The sequence below is a fragment of the Homo sapiens genome, chromosome 18, assembly GCF_000001405.40.
Source record: "Homo sapiens chromosome 18, GRCh38.p14 Primary Assembly".
Taxonomy (NCBI): Eukaryota; Metazoa; Chordata; class Mammalia; order Primates; family Hominidae; genus Homo; species Homo sapiens.
Window position 1 is genome coordinate 25,813,741 of NC_000018.10, and position 13,644 is coordinate 25,827,384.

A 13,644-nucleotide genomic window follows, 5' to 3' on the forward strand; every position below is an offset into this window, starting at 1 on the left:
CCCCTTTTATTGAGAAATTCAAAGAGTTGCAGCGCCATGACTTTAACGAAGCCACAATTAGAGCGGCTTTCTTCCAGCACTGTGTGTAATCTGTTTTACCACAGAAATACAAAGTTGCTGTCTATGCACACAATTTTAGCATTTCTGGTTTTTATGCCATCTTACTTACAAGAAACTCCCAGCTGTTATAATTTGTCTCATCCATCGCTCTCTTGTAGAGCCAGCCTTTGTTCCTTTTTTTCAGTGCCAGGGACTTGCTGGGTTTCACCTGATGTGATTTGTCCAGGCATTAATAATGCATCTTCAAGATGCAAGATGCATGAATTCCTTTAGTAACGGATCTGCTGGCAGAGGGCTGTATGGTATTGTACAGTTTTGCTGCAAAAAAGGTAAGGCAAGGGACAAAAGGAAGGTCATCAGCCTTGGGAGTGAGGGTACCAGTTGTTTCGGAAGGTCATTGCAACCAGCTCATAGTAAAGGCAAGGGCATGCTGAGGATAATAAACATTCGACCAACAATTCCTTTTTTTAAAAAAAAGTTATTGCCAAATCTGCAACTCATAACTCGTCCCTATAAATGAAAGTGAGTTGCACATTCAGATGACTATTCAGGAAGTCCAGGATGCTGTCTGTCTTCATGTCTTACTTGGTCTATCAAAGGATATTTCCTACTTACAGATCTTCATTCTCCCTTTGGATTTTGGAGCACACTCCAGCTACCTTCTCAGTGGCCTTGATGTGATTGTTGTTAGTGCTACTCGTATGCATTTTTTATCATCTTGCATTTGTAAAGAGCTTGTATTTTCAAGTGCTTTATAATCATTAATAAGTTATTTCTCACAATTATCCCAAAAAGTAGGGCAGAGTTCTTTTCTCGATGTCACAGTTAAGGAAAAAGAAGTGCAGATAGGTCACAATGCCAAAAGTTCACAGGGAGTATACATTCCAAAGTTGGAATAAGGTCACATTTAGAGGGTCACCCTACCTCCAACACCAAACAGCTACCTCTAGAGTGGGAATGGGAACAACAGAAGGCAGAATGTGGAACTCAATTAGAAATAACCAGGTTGCTTAGTGGACACATTCATAAACCCTTCAGAAAATAATCCTGCTTCAGATGACCAGGTTTTGAACTCAAGATTAGCAGTGCTACCTGGTTCCAACATCATAGGCTTTCTTAAGAAACCATGAATTGCCTGTGTAATGTTGAAATCAAAAAGTTCAGCCATGGACTGAAACGGTAGCTTGTGCAGATGATCATTTAACTTTCAGTTTCTATAAGGACTCCTGACAAGATTTGTCAATATTCAACCGAACCACACTTTCTGTACAGTCATTAGAGTAGGTTCACCTGCCTCCTCCTCTCATTCTGCCAACCTCCCACCCCCCAAAAAAAAAAATTTCATTTAATCAATAACATTTGCTTTCAGGGCAGCTCTCCTTTACTGCTGTTCCATCTCTGTCTGGGTTACCATAGCAACTATTCTCAGAGCAGTGTGATACCCAGTTTATACATTTCAGCCCTGTCACGTGACTGACTACCTGCTTCTACTTTAATCATTGCTGGAGGGAACACTCAAAAAGTGGCTGCTTCCTGCTTCCTGTTGCAGTCCACCAAACTGCCCTCATGTTTTACATTTCCTCCCTCAACCTAGAAAACACGTGTTAATTGTGCTGACTTCCAAAGCAGAGAAGAGGGAAGGCTACTGGGGTAGGTGAGAGTACCCAGATTGCTAGAATTAGCAGAGCCTTCCAGGCCCTACAGCCAAATTCTCCTTTTTCCCTGTAGAGATACTTTTGTATTTAGAAGGCCCCCTTTCTAAGATCTTAATTGTAGAGGAAAAGATGTGTCTGACCTCATCCTAGCCTGAGATCCATCTTCCAGCGGCCCCACGACCTTCGAACACTCGTCTCCATTCATGTGGCCATTTCGTGGGCCCCCTGCAAGGCAAGGCCAGGAACTAGGGACCTCAGGAGCCTCCCTTGTTGCAACTTTGAGAGGTCTGTTTAAATCACATTATAAAGCTAATGAAACACAGCTAATGAAGCACAGATGTCCCATCAGATTTGGAGCTCTGAGTCCCCGTAAAAGCCCAGTAAAAATAAATGAAAGGAGCCTTGTATCCATGGAAATGGGCAGCTCACATGCTAATCCTTCCCCTCACCCATTTATGAGTTCATTACCATTTCTAATTCCAGGGCTTCTGAAAGCATTTGTGGCTTCTGGGTCAGTCATTTCCTGGAACTCATGGCAGGCTGGGCTCGAACATCCTTGGCCTGGCCCCTTTATTCAGAGATAGAGGAAAGTAAAGAGGTGTATATTGCTTATCAGTTGCACAAGCTCCTGGTTACCTTTTTTCCTTCTGAGATGCTGGGAAGAATCTAGAGTCCTGTGTCCTCCTGGGACCTAGCAGAAGGATTTCCATGACCAGGCTCCTATGTCTGTCGGCAATAGCCGTGGTGAACCAGATCGGGAGTGGTCTGATACCAAACAGCTTTTCTGTCAGAGTCAGTTACACCCCACATTCATCATCTTTCAACGAACACAATATTCCTTCATTAAATGGAGTTGATTTCAGCTACCATTATACAGTTACTATTATATGACAAGGTAATGAAGAAAAGTAACAAAAGGGGGTAATTTTATTGGGGAATAGGGTTAGACTGAATCAAGGCACTCCCTGGAATGACGGGTGTGGGCAGGACGCTTAGGGAGCTCTAAGAAGCACCATGAGGACATCAGCTACCCAGGGGTGGAGGGTCCAAGGAGAGGGAATATGCTACAAAAAGAAGAAGAAAAGGAGTATAGAACATCTTCAGAAACAAGACCTGCCTCTCTCACAAATTTGGCTCAATGAGATAATTGAGCGGCTTCTTGGGATATAGGACAAGGGATGATGGGGGCCACTGCCCATCAGAAACCTTGCTTCCTAAAATTTTTTGGCTACTGGGTAATGTTCATTCTCTTTCTTGGGTATTTTTTGTTGTTGTTTGTTTGTTTGTTTGTTTTTTTGTTTTGAGACGGAGTTTCACTCTTGTTGCCCAGGCTGGAGTGCAATGGCACGATCTCAGCTCACCACAACCTCCACCTGCCGGGTTCAAGTGATTCTCCCGCCTCAGCCTCCCGAGTAGCTGGGATTACAGGCATGTGCCACCATGCCCAGCTAATTTTGTATTTTTAGTAGAGACAGGGTTTCTCCATGTTGGTCAGGCTGGTCTTGAACTCCCAACTTCAGGTGATCCACCAGCCTCGGCCTCCCAAAGTGCTGGGATTACAGGTGTGAGCCACTGTGCCTGGCCTTTCTTGGGTATTTGTTTATAGAAATAGGTATTTCATGTTGGAGCCAAAGTGGTTCTCTCAGGGAGGCCCTTGGGGGATAAATCTCCACATGTTTTATTTTTGAAATATAATTTTAGAATTTTAAATTCTCAAAGATGTATTCTGAAGGAAGAGAACATGTTCTCAATTTAAAAGTAAATATCTGAGTGTCAGTAATACCTCGCATTAATGTTCTCCCTTTAAGAGACTAATTGTACTTCTCTATCACTTAATCAGCCCCAGAAACTGAGGATAAGAGATGTTAGAGATGAGGAAACTGAGGCACAAGGAATAGAGAGACTTTCCTGGAGCCAGGCATTATCACAAGCACTAGAACTGAGGTTCCTTGTGATACATTTCAGACCCCAAGGAAGGAAGCTATAAGCCCTAGACATTCTTCCAAAACAATCAATTTTGTTCATCGTAATAGCTGAAAAATGAATGCTCTGTAAAAATGGTCCAAGAAATTAAAGCTTAGGCTTGTGATTATTACAGTGATTTGTCAGCGGTAGTGTATGATTTTTGGAAGAGCACCAGCTGTATTAACAAGAGAATAAGAGTGCAGTTCATTTTTCATTTACCTAATATAGATATCCTTGCTTCACCAAAGAAAGAGCTAAATAGAAGTGATAAAACACCAGCAATGGAGCAACATAAGTGACTTCACGGAAAATGATTTAATCCTTTCACCACCTGCTAACACGAGAGATTTTTACCACTGACTTATGTGAACAACTCTCTGAACTGTCAGAAATAGAAACAACCCTAACCAAAAAAAAAAATAAAACTGGAAAAGTTATGTGGGCAGCTAAGACCATTTAGCTACTCTCTCTACCATCTGACTCAGGGCCAGTGATGGGGGAAATGTATCACAAAAATTAAACACAGTGACCTATATGTTGACAGGAAAGGTGTGGAAAGAGCTGACGGCTTATAATGAGAAAATGTGGGATGTGTTTCATGGATCAACAACCTGTTGCTCAGAACTTTCTTCTCCCAGTTAAGACAAAGCAGCTAGACTTCAGCAGGCAACCTAATCTCCCAGCCCAAGCCGGCTTCCCAGCTGTCCTGGAGTTCTTTGGCTCACACTGTTTTTCCTTTCTAATCACTGTCCTCTTTTCTTCCTTAACCTTTTATTTAACACATCCTTTGTCACTCTTTTTTTTTTTTTTTTAAGAGACGGGGTCTGGCTATGTTGTCCAGGCTGGAGTTCAGTGGCTATTCACAGGCATGATCCCTCTACTGATCAGCATGGGAGTTTTGACCTGTTTCGTTCCCAGCCTGGGCTAGCTCACCTCTTCTTAAGCAACCTGGTGGTCCCTTGCTCCTGGGAGGTCACCATATCAATGCCAGATTCAGTGCAGACACCCGGCATAGCGCACTACAGCCCAGAACTCTGAGCTCAAGTGATCCTCCAATCTCAGCCTCCCCTCCTGAGTAGCTGGGACTGCAGGCCGGTGCCACCACACCCAGCCTCTGTCACCCTTAGTAACACGTTTCAGACAGAGTGGATTAGCCCAAATTCATAGAACATCCTACCTATTTAAGATGTTTAAGATAGAAGAATGTTCACTCAACAATTTCAAAAATGAAATCAAGACCAAAGTATTCGAATTATTTTAAAGCAAATTTAAGAAACTGCTGACATCATAAATTGAGAGACTTCCTATACTTGACAGAATGGATGCTTTGAAGTGAAAGAGTTGACATTTTAAGTTTCAGGCCTAAGAGTTAACTTTCGCTAATGCTGATGGCCCCAGCCAGAGGGTAGGCGTGTGATTTGGAGACATCAGGAGAGCAGTAGAAACCCATGCCTTGCACGGCTACCTTTTCCTCATTAATGCTCTTTCCAAAGTTAACAAGAGTTGAGAAGACTTAACTTCTCAGCGATACAAATTAAGCTAATATTTTGCACTTTGGAACAAAGTCCTCAGGAATATTTCTCAAGCTAATAGCTCTGCATCTTAACATAAACCGGAAGTAACTCTTTTCTATAGTAAAAGTGTGTTTCAAAGCCCTTGGCATCTCTTGTCTCAAGTGGGTCTTCATGATCCTACAGGGGAAGGAAAGTATTTTACAGATAAGCTACCAGAGTTGAACGGCATCTGATGGCCCCACAAAAAGCTGGGGCAGATTTGCTCCAGAATCCAGCTCTGCCAGTGCCTGATCTCTGCTCTATGTGTGGCCACATCTTTCTAAGATCTCATACTCAAATAATACATCAGTTTGATCCGCTGACCCAGTGTCTCTACTTCTTTTGGAGAAGTATGACTAATATATAATTGAGTGGGCCGGGTGTGGTGGCTCACGCCTGTAATCCCAGCACTTTGGGAGACCGAGATGGGCAGATCACCTGAGGTCAGGAGTTTGAGACCAGCCTGGCCAACATGGTGAAATATATATATATATATATAATTGAGTAACTAAAATAGCAGATTCCTCAAAACTACATCTTGAAAACGTAGTGCTTATTCTTGGATTAGAAATAAAGCTATCTCTTGCTTTCTTCAAAAGTTGTAAGTAAATTTTATAACCAAAGAATTTTAATGATTAACTGAATAATTTAATCCAAGTCACTATAACCAAATGAATGCTGGACCAGGGGCTCTGAGTTTTACTCCTGATTTTACTACTGTGAGATTTCTAGGTATCAATTCTCTTCTTTGTAAAATAAGGGGATTAACCCAATTTATTCATAAAGTACCTTCCTATAAGTGTAGATTTTATGAATCTAAAATCTGTCTTTGGGGATATTAGGCTTTCTTCCTAAATGCTGTATCCATATTAATCCTGCTTCATTTTCCCCACTAGGAAAGAGCAAGCAGCACTTTCCTCTCTGTTCCCTCCCAAGAGCTCTCTGGGGAATAAGGAGGAGTCTCCTGGGTTTAAGCAGAGACTAGCAGCCTGTGCTGCTCACATATCTATTCTGGAGCCCCAGAGGCCCTAAAGGGAAACCAGCCAAAGAAGGAGAAAAGGGGAACTGGTGCCTAAAAATGCATGGACAATCTCCCTGCTGGCTCCCCTCCCTGGGAGCATCCCTGTGCCCTTCCTCAAGGAGTCCAGAAAGGCTTCTCCGTTAGCAGCCAGGTGACCTCTGGCCTCTTTGCAAGGACTCTGCTCTTCAGCTGGTGTGATGCCTGCACACAAAGGACTGTAAGCAAAAAGAGAATCTGCTCAGCTCTGCACCAAGAAGGGTGACTTTCCAGACACAGAGAGCCCAGAAATAAATAATGCCCTGCCACCTACAATTTCACAGGAATAATGAGGAAAATAATGAGTTAAGCATCATTACTTGGGCTCCTGTGCTTTGAAAAATAGTCTAGTGGTGATGATGATGATATACTCCATGACATTATAGATTGATATCAACCAATATTCACATGACTAATCAAGTAAGCATCTTATTAAGCAAAATTACTAAAATATATTTGGCAGAACTTTTTCCTCCATCTTCATGTTTGCCATGATAGCCCACTCTTACTACTATCTTGAGACTAAGAAAAATACATTTAAATATGCTATCTTGCTCATTTCTTTCACATACTAATCTAGCCAACAAATGTATTGATCATCCTCTTCATGCCAGGCACTGTGATAAGAATGACAGAAGGAAAGACAAAAACACACAGTGCCCGCCTTCGGAGACCGCCCTGTCTAAGAGGGCAACTGACATTAACAGCAACATAAGTGCTATGATAAAGATATTGCAAAATAGAGTGCCAGCTCTGGAGAAGGGAACTTTAATAGAGATTTATTTGAGAAAGAGAGACAAAGAACAAACGCCATGCCATTTTAAAATAAACTATTTTCTCAGTAAATAGTTTAAAGGAAAGAAGAATCAGTGATTACCAGGGAAAGACCCTTAAAATAATGTAGACATGGAAATCTTCAGGTGTCATAGTTTGCACCTTCAGAGACAGGCTGGTGCACATAAGATATGCTATGATACAGTATTGTGCTAGAGAGGGACACCAGAATTATGGTTATTCTGAATTTATTTATACAGGAAAATTTTTATCTTTCTACAAGTAACTTACCCGCTTGAGGAAAGGTGCAGATTAGCAGAACATTCTAAAGCCTTCTATAATGTGTTCTGATGTGGACTGGCGGAGGGTGCGGTGCCTGCCAAATAGACTCTAGGAAGGAAAATGTCCTGACGACCCCAAGGCTGTTTCTATAGGTCACACTTGCACTCCAGTCTTAAGCACACAGCTGACAGTGCCGCAGCCACACATTTGTGCCACATCAACGTCAAGTGGTGTCTGAGCAGGGCACTGTCATTGCTTGGACTGGCACAGGGTTTCCAACACTGTGTTGGTACAGCTTTGCTGCTAAGGCTTTACTCATTATTCCACCCCAGTCCTGATGCCCGCCAGAACCATGCATACCTAGTACCCATCGTCTCCTTTCCCTTCCTCCTGCCAAACATGTCCTTTCTTCCACCCAAAGGGTAAAAAGCAGTCCGGCCACCGTTTCTACCACTGAAGTCTAGGAACATGGACCCTCCTGTTTTTGTTTTGTTTTGCTTCAATAACCTCCATCTCTTATCTCTTCTCTCCTTTTTCATCCTGTTTTTCTTATACTTTATCCCTCCATTCTTCCTTCTTACATCACTGTACAAAACAGCATATTCTTTACAAACCTATTTTCAGTTTTTTTATATCAAGACATCATCTACTTCCTGGCGTATATTCCCTCTAATGAGTAAAGAAAGGTATCTCTTTGAACAAGCCATAGAAAATTTAAAAATCTACTTATACATAAGCAAAATGAGTTAAGTAAGGAGAAAAATAAAACGTCTTCCATTTAAGTCAAGGAAAGGATAAGAAATCATGTCATCAAGTATGACGATCATAACAGTAGTCCTCACCGATACAAGAAGCCACAGAAAATAAATGAGATGGTAAATTGGAAGGAGACAAAACTGCAATTATTTGTATATGATGTTATTATCTACCCAGAAATCTGAAAGAATCAACTGGAAAACTGTTTTGATTAATGTAAAAGATAAATAAGATCGCCAGATACAAGATCAATATACATAAACCACTAGCAGCTTCATTTATCAACAATGTCCCCTTAGAAAATGTAATGAACAAAGGCTTTTATCATGATAACAGAAAAATGCTTAAGTTTAGACCTAATCATAATATGCTAAAAGGCTCAATATTTTATATGTAAAAATTCTCCCCAATTAACCTGTATATTAAAAACAACCAGAATAAACTTAACACACTGATTGTAAAGTTTATATAAAAGAGAAAGGATTTGTAAATATCCAAGAAAATTTAGAGAAAAAATAGCAAACCGAACTTGTGCTAGCAAGTATTAGATATGTTATGTAGTTATACAAATTAAAATGATGTGGTATTTGGGAAGGAGTATGCTCCAGCTCAAAAAAATAGAGAGGAATAAATACAAAATATCTCATATATATGTGAATTTAACACATACAGTCAATCAAGTATTTTAAATCAGTGGAGAAATATATGCAATAAATGACTCTGGGGAAATTATGTCTTTACTTTGGAAGAAAACTTGATTCCTACATCACTCCATATACAAAAATAAATCTCAAGGCAATTCAAGAACTAAACACAAAAAATATAGAAATATAGTAGAGGAAAATATGGGAGAATTCTTTTATAATTTTGTGACTGCATATAGTCTGCACAAAGAAAAAGATGGACAGATTGGAAATAATTTTAAAATTCTTTAAGATAAAATACATCACTACCAAAGCTAAAAGGCAAGCAACTTGAAGAATACATTTGCAATAAATGTGTTTCAGACAATAGATGAGTTTTTATAATATACAAAGAGTTTTTATAAATCAATAATAAAGCAACCCAAGAGACAAAAAATGGACAAAGATATAGCTGATATTGATTGATAGGATCCTATTTGCCAGGCAGTATCTTAAGCACTTTTTATCTATTAACTCTATTAATTTGCATAGTAATTCTTTTGATCAGATACTATTATCATCTCCATTTACAGACAAGAAAATTGAGACAAAGAGAAATTTAGGAACTTGTCCAGAGTTATCAGTTAGTAAATGCTATAGTCAGGATTCAGATTTTTAAATTCTGATGCCAGAGACCAATTCAATGAAAAAGAAAACAAATAGCTAACAAACTTAAGAAAAGCAGTTCAACATTAGGAACTATCAGAGAAATGCAAACACTAAAACACAATAAGATACTTTTACCTACCAGTCATTGTTTTTTTTTTAAGTGGATTTATAAGACTAACATTACCAAGAGTGTTGGGAAACGTTTTGTCATCAGTTATTGGGGGTGTCCCTTGGTATAGAATTTTTAGAGGGCAATTTAACAATATCCATCAAACTTAAAAAAAACTTATGCTTTGACTCAGAAACTTCATTTCTATCTCATAGAAATATTTGGACACGTGCCCAGAGATGTGCAAAGTGAAAAACTGAAAATAGCTTATATGTCCATCAATAAGGGGATGGTTAACAAAAATGATTATACATCCAATCATAAATTGTATGTAGTGTAGCAGTTAAAAAGAGTGAGTTATATCTATAGGAACTAAATGGAAAGACATCTAAGATACATCATTAAGTGTAAAAAGCAAGTCATAAGATATTATGTGTAATCTGATATCATATACAAACATGTCCACATTAATATTCATTTATTCACTCAACAACAACAAAATTAGCACCTACTACCTGCTAGGAACTGTTCTAGTCAGTAGAGATAGAGTAGTGGGCCAAGTAGACAAAGTCTCTCTTTCCTGGAGTTCACATTCTATTGGGCAGGCTGACAATAAACAAACAAGCAAACCAATAAAAGACCAAAATAATTTAAATGGTGTGTTAGTTTTGCATTATTGTCAGAACAAATTATTGCATACTTAGCAGCTTAAACAACACAAATTTATCTCCCAATTCTGTAGGTCAAACGTTCAATCCGAGTTTTGCCCAGAAAGGGCTGCATTCCCTGCAGGCTCTAGGGAAAGATGTGTTTCCTTGCTCTTTCAAGTTGTTGCAGAATTTGGTTCCTTGTGGTTATAGGACTGTGGTCCCTGTTTCCTTGCTGGCTGTCAGCCAAGAACCATTCCCAGTTTCTAGAGGCCACCTGCATCCTTTGGCCTGGTGTCCCCCTGCCTCCATCTTCAAAGCCAGCAGTGGCAAATCAAGTCCTTGTCATGCTCTGAATCTCTTGCCCTTCTCTCTGACTCAGCCAGGAAAGGTTCACCACTTCTAAGGCCTTGTGTGATTAGATTGGACCCACCAGGATAATCCAGGATTATCTCCCTTCCTTTGGGTTCATGCTTTTACTTGTATCACATTTGGTCCCCTTTGTCACAGAAGAGAACATATTCATCCACAGGTTTCAGGGATTAGGGCGTGGACATCTTTGTAGAGAAGGGAGCTTTATTCTGCCTACTACTGATGGTAATAAATGCCAGGAGGAAAACCAAAATAGTGAAAGGCAAAAGGTGATAATGAGGGCAGCTCATTTACATTGTGTCATCAGAGAGGCCCTCCCTGAGGAAGTAAAATGGGTGACCAGCAAGTGACCACTGGGACAGAGCAATCCAGGCATGTATTTAAATATACAGAAAAAGGCATGGAAAGCTACATATTAAACTATTCACATGCTGCCTCTGGAGAGAAGAACACAATTCAAGAGTGGGAAAAGATAAAAGCTTTATCCTATATCCTTCTATTTGTTTGGAAGTTTTACTTGTGTAATTTTTTAAATTATGCTTATAAAGAGTTAGAAAAAGAAAAGGGAAATATACTTTGGGGTTAAAGCAAAGAAAGTTTAAGATTTAGGTACTAGTGAAAGTTAATATATTCTAAATTCTGACACACACAGTAAGAAAATAAAAATAAAACGTTGTCTTGGATTCTACAAAAGAATCTGTTCTAGAGGGCAGCAATAGATCGATACCCTCCTCTTCTGAGTCTTTAAGGAGAATACACTTGCCAATTAGACATTTTTACACGTCAGCAACCTTGGAAACTTCTCCTGGCTATAACCTCTTTATTTTGCTTCGAACTCCTAACTTGGTACTCATTTGCTGAGCTCTTACCCTGGATAGCTCACATTGTTTCATGTGGTTTTCCAAGGAGGACACTAAAAGCTTCTCTGAGAATGCAGGCAGGCAAAAGAAAAGTTATTTGAATGGGCTCTGCAGTGTAGCAATCTGTCACAGCAAAGGGGTGAGTCTTGCCGGAATGCATTTCTGCTACTCAAGACACAAACAAGGGAGAGATCACAGAAGGATACACGGAAGTGCCTGTCGGGGAGCTGAAGCGAGTGGCTTCAGGGAGACAAGACAGAAGACCAAAGGGCTCTCCCAGGACACAGGAAAGCAAAACTTTGAGCAATTTAGTATCAAGACTCCGGGATACAACTGCAGCAAATAGGCTTTGTGTGTTTGTGTGAGAGAGAGTGTGTGTGTGCGCACGTGTGTGTGCTCACCCATGCATGTGATACTCAAAATTACAACTCCTTCGGAGCAAAGATATGACACTAAAAGCAGTGAGAAGCAAACAATAGCTACGGCTATAAATTAAGGAGTTCCTATTTCTGTACTAATCACATAGATTTGTTTTTGCAGACAGCCTGCCTATCAAAGATAGGGATTCTCTGAGTAACATGTTTGCAACAGTCTAGTAAATTTTTCTATTTGAATGTCTCTTCATCACCTAAAGAGTGACAAATCCAAAACCGAACACATCATTGTCTGCTCACAAATATTTTCTCCTCCCAGCCATTCTTCCTGCCTGAGATAGTGACACCCTCTTTTTCTCCATCACTCAGGCTTGAGAACTTGGAGTCATTCTTACCTCATCCTTCACCTTCAACTAGTCATCCCCCTCCAATCCTTTTTGGAAGTAGGTAAAACGTAAATCACATACAAATAAAAACAGTATTTAATCAGCATATAGTCTATGTAAACCTCTCCATCTTTGTTCCCACTTTCACCCCTGGTCAAGGATCTTATCCCAGAAGTATTTATCTGAAGTATTTCCTCAGGAGGCCCCTCCACCCACTGCCTGTCATTTCAGTCCAAACCTTCCATATCTCACTAGCTGGTGAACACAAACACAGCCACATTATCATCCCGTGAGCAAATAGTGTTTCCGAGGGCCTTTTAGGTTTGTCTGAGGTTCAAAGGCAGGAAGTCGAAGTCTCCCAAAGCCCCCCTTCCTCACTTTCTGAGGCCTTGGCTGGCTTAAATATGCCCACACATGGCCCCCAGCCTTCACTCCTGGCCCTACACAGCCCAGGGGCCTGGCAGCTCCTTCCTCTCAAGAGTGAACTACAAAAGCCTGGGTGCAACACCTAGAGGTCCAGAGACTCTGTGAACACAGGGAGGCAGATCTGGCAGAACCTCCTTCCTCCGTGGGTTTCTTCCATGTGGGAGTCCTGAGGCCCTCATCCTTAGCCTGGCTGGCATGTCTAGTTTCCTCTCACTGCCTTTCCTTTCCAAGAGGTGGCAAAGCAGGACTGAGAGCTGACCAGCTGTCCTCTGCAGCTCAGAGACAAAATGAAGTGTGAAACCAAACAAAACCACACTCATCCACAGCAGAGCAAGAGCAACTCAGGCTTGTGTTGTCTGTGTCCATGCAGCAAGCCCAGACTTTTGCTCCCAGCCCTAACAGAGAGAAAAGGAAAGAAGTGGGGGTGGGAGGGGGTGGGATCAGCAGTGCCCAGATGCACAGTTCTGTCTACACACAAAAAATCATATTCCCAAATGAAGCTTTACCTCTTCATTTGTTTCTTCTTGCAACAAGTGTTTTTTGAGCACCTACTATGTGCCAAGCATGGGACAGACTGACAGAAGCCTGCTGGAGCAGAAGCTCTGGTGTGGAAAATAGACAGTTTTTAAAAATCAAGAAAAATAAGCAAGGTTGTTTCAGGTAGTGATGAGTCAGAGAGGAAATGAAGCAAGGTGCTGGGATGGAGAGCGCAGGGCCTGCTTAGGTAAGGCAGTCCTGAAGGCCCGTCTCAGTGGTGACATTGGGGCTGAGCATCAGCTGAACGGAGAAGAGGCTGCCCAGACTGTGCTCCAAGTCAGTGGCAAGCTGACAGTTTTCCCCAATAAAATTGGGTGGACACATAGCCTCGCATTTGTATTAGTTTGCTAGGGACGCCATAACAAAGTAATACTAATAGTTGCTTAAAAGACACAAATGTGTTTTCGCCCAGTTTTGGAGGCCAGAAATCCAAAATCAAGGTGTCAGTAGGGCCCTGCTCTCTCTGAAGACACTGGGGAAGGATCTGCTCTCGCCTCTCTTCCAGCTCTGACAGTTTCTTGGCTTAGAACAACATAACT

General features: G+C 41.0%; 1 pseudogene, besides 1 other annotated feature; it reads right to left on the reverse strand.

Annotated features, from left to right (window-relative positions):
• Positions 1,340-1,409: an enhancer, noted in NCBI's record as "active region_13175". NCBI's record gives its function as "activates an Ori minimal core promoter by ATAC-STARR-seq in GM12878 lymphoblastoid cells {active_cell/tissue: GM12878}" and the evidence as "EXISTENCE:reporter gene assay evidence [ECO:0000049][PMID:35858748]".
• RN7SL97P (RNA, 7SL, cytoplasmic 97, pseudogene) lies at positions 4,494-4,792 on the reverse strand (annotated as a pseudogene).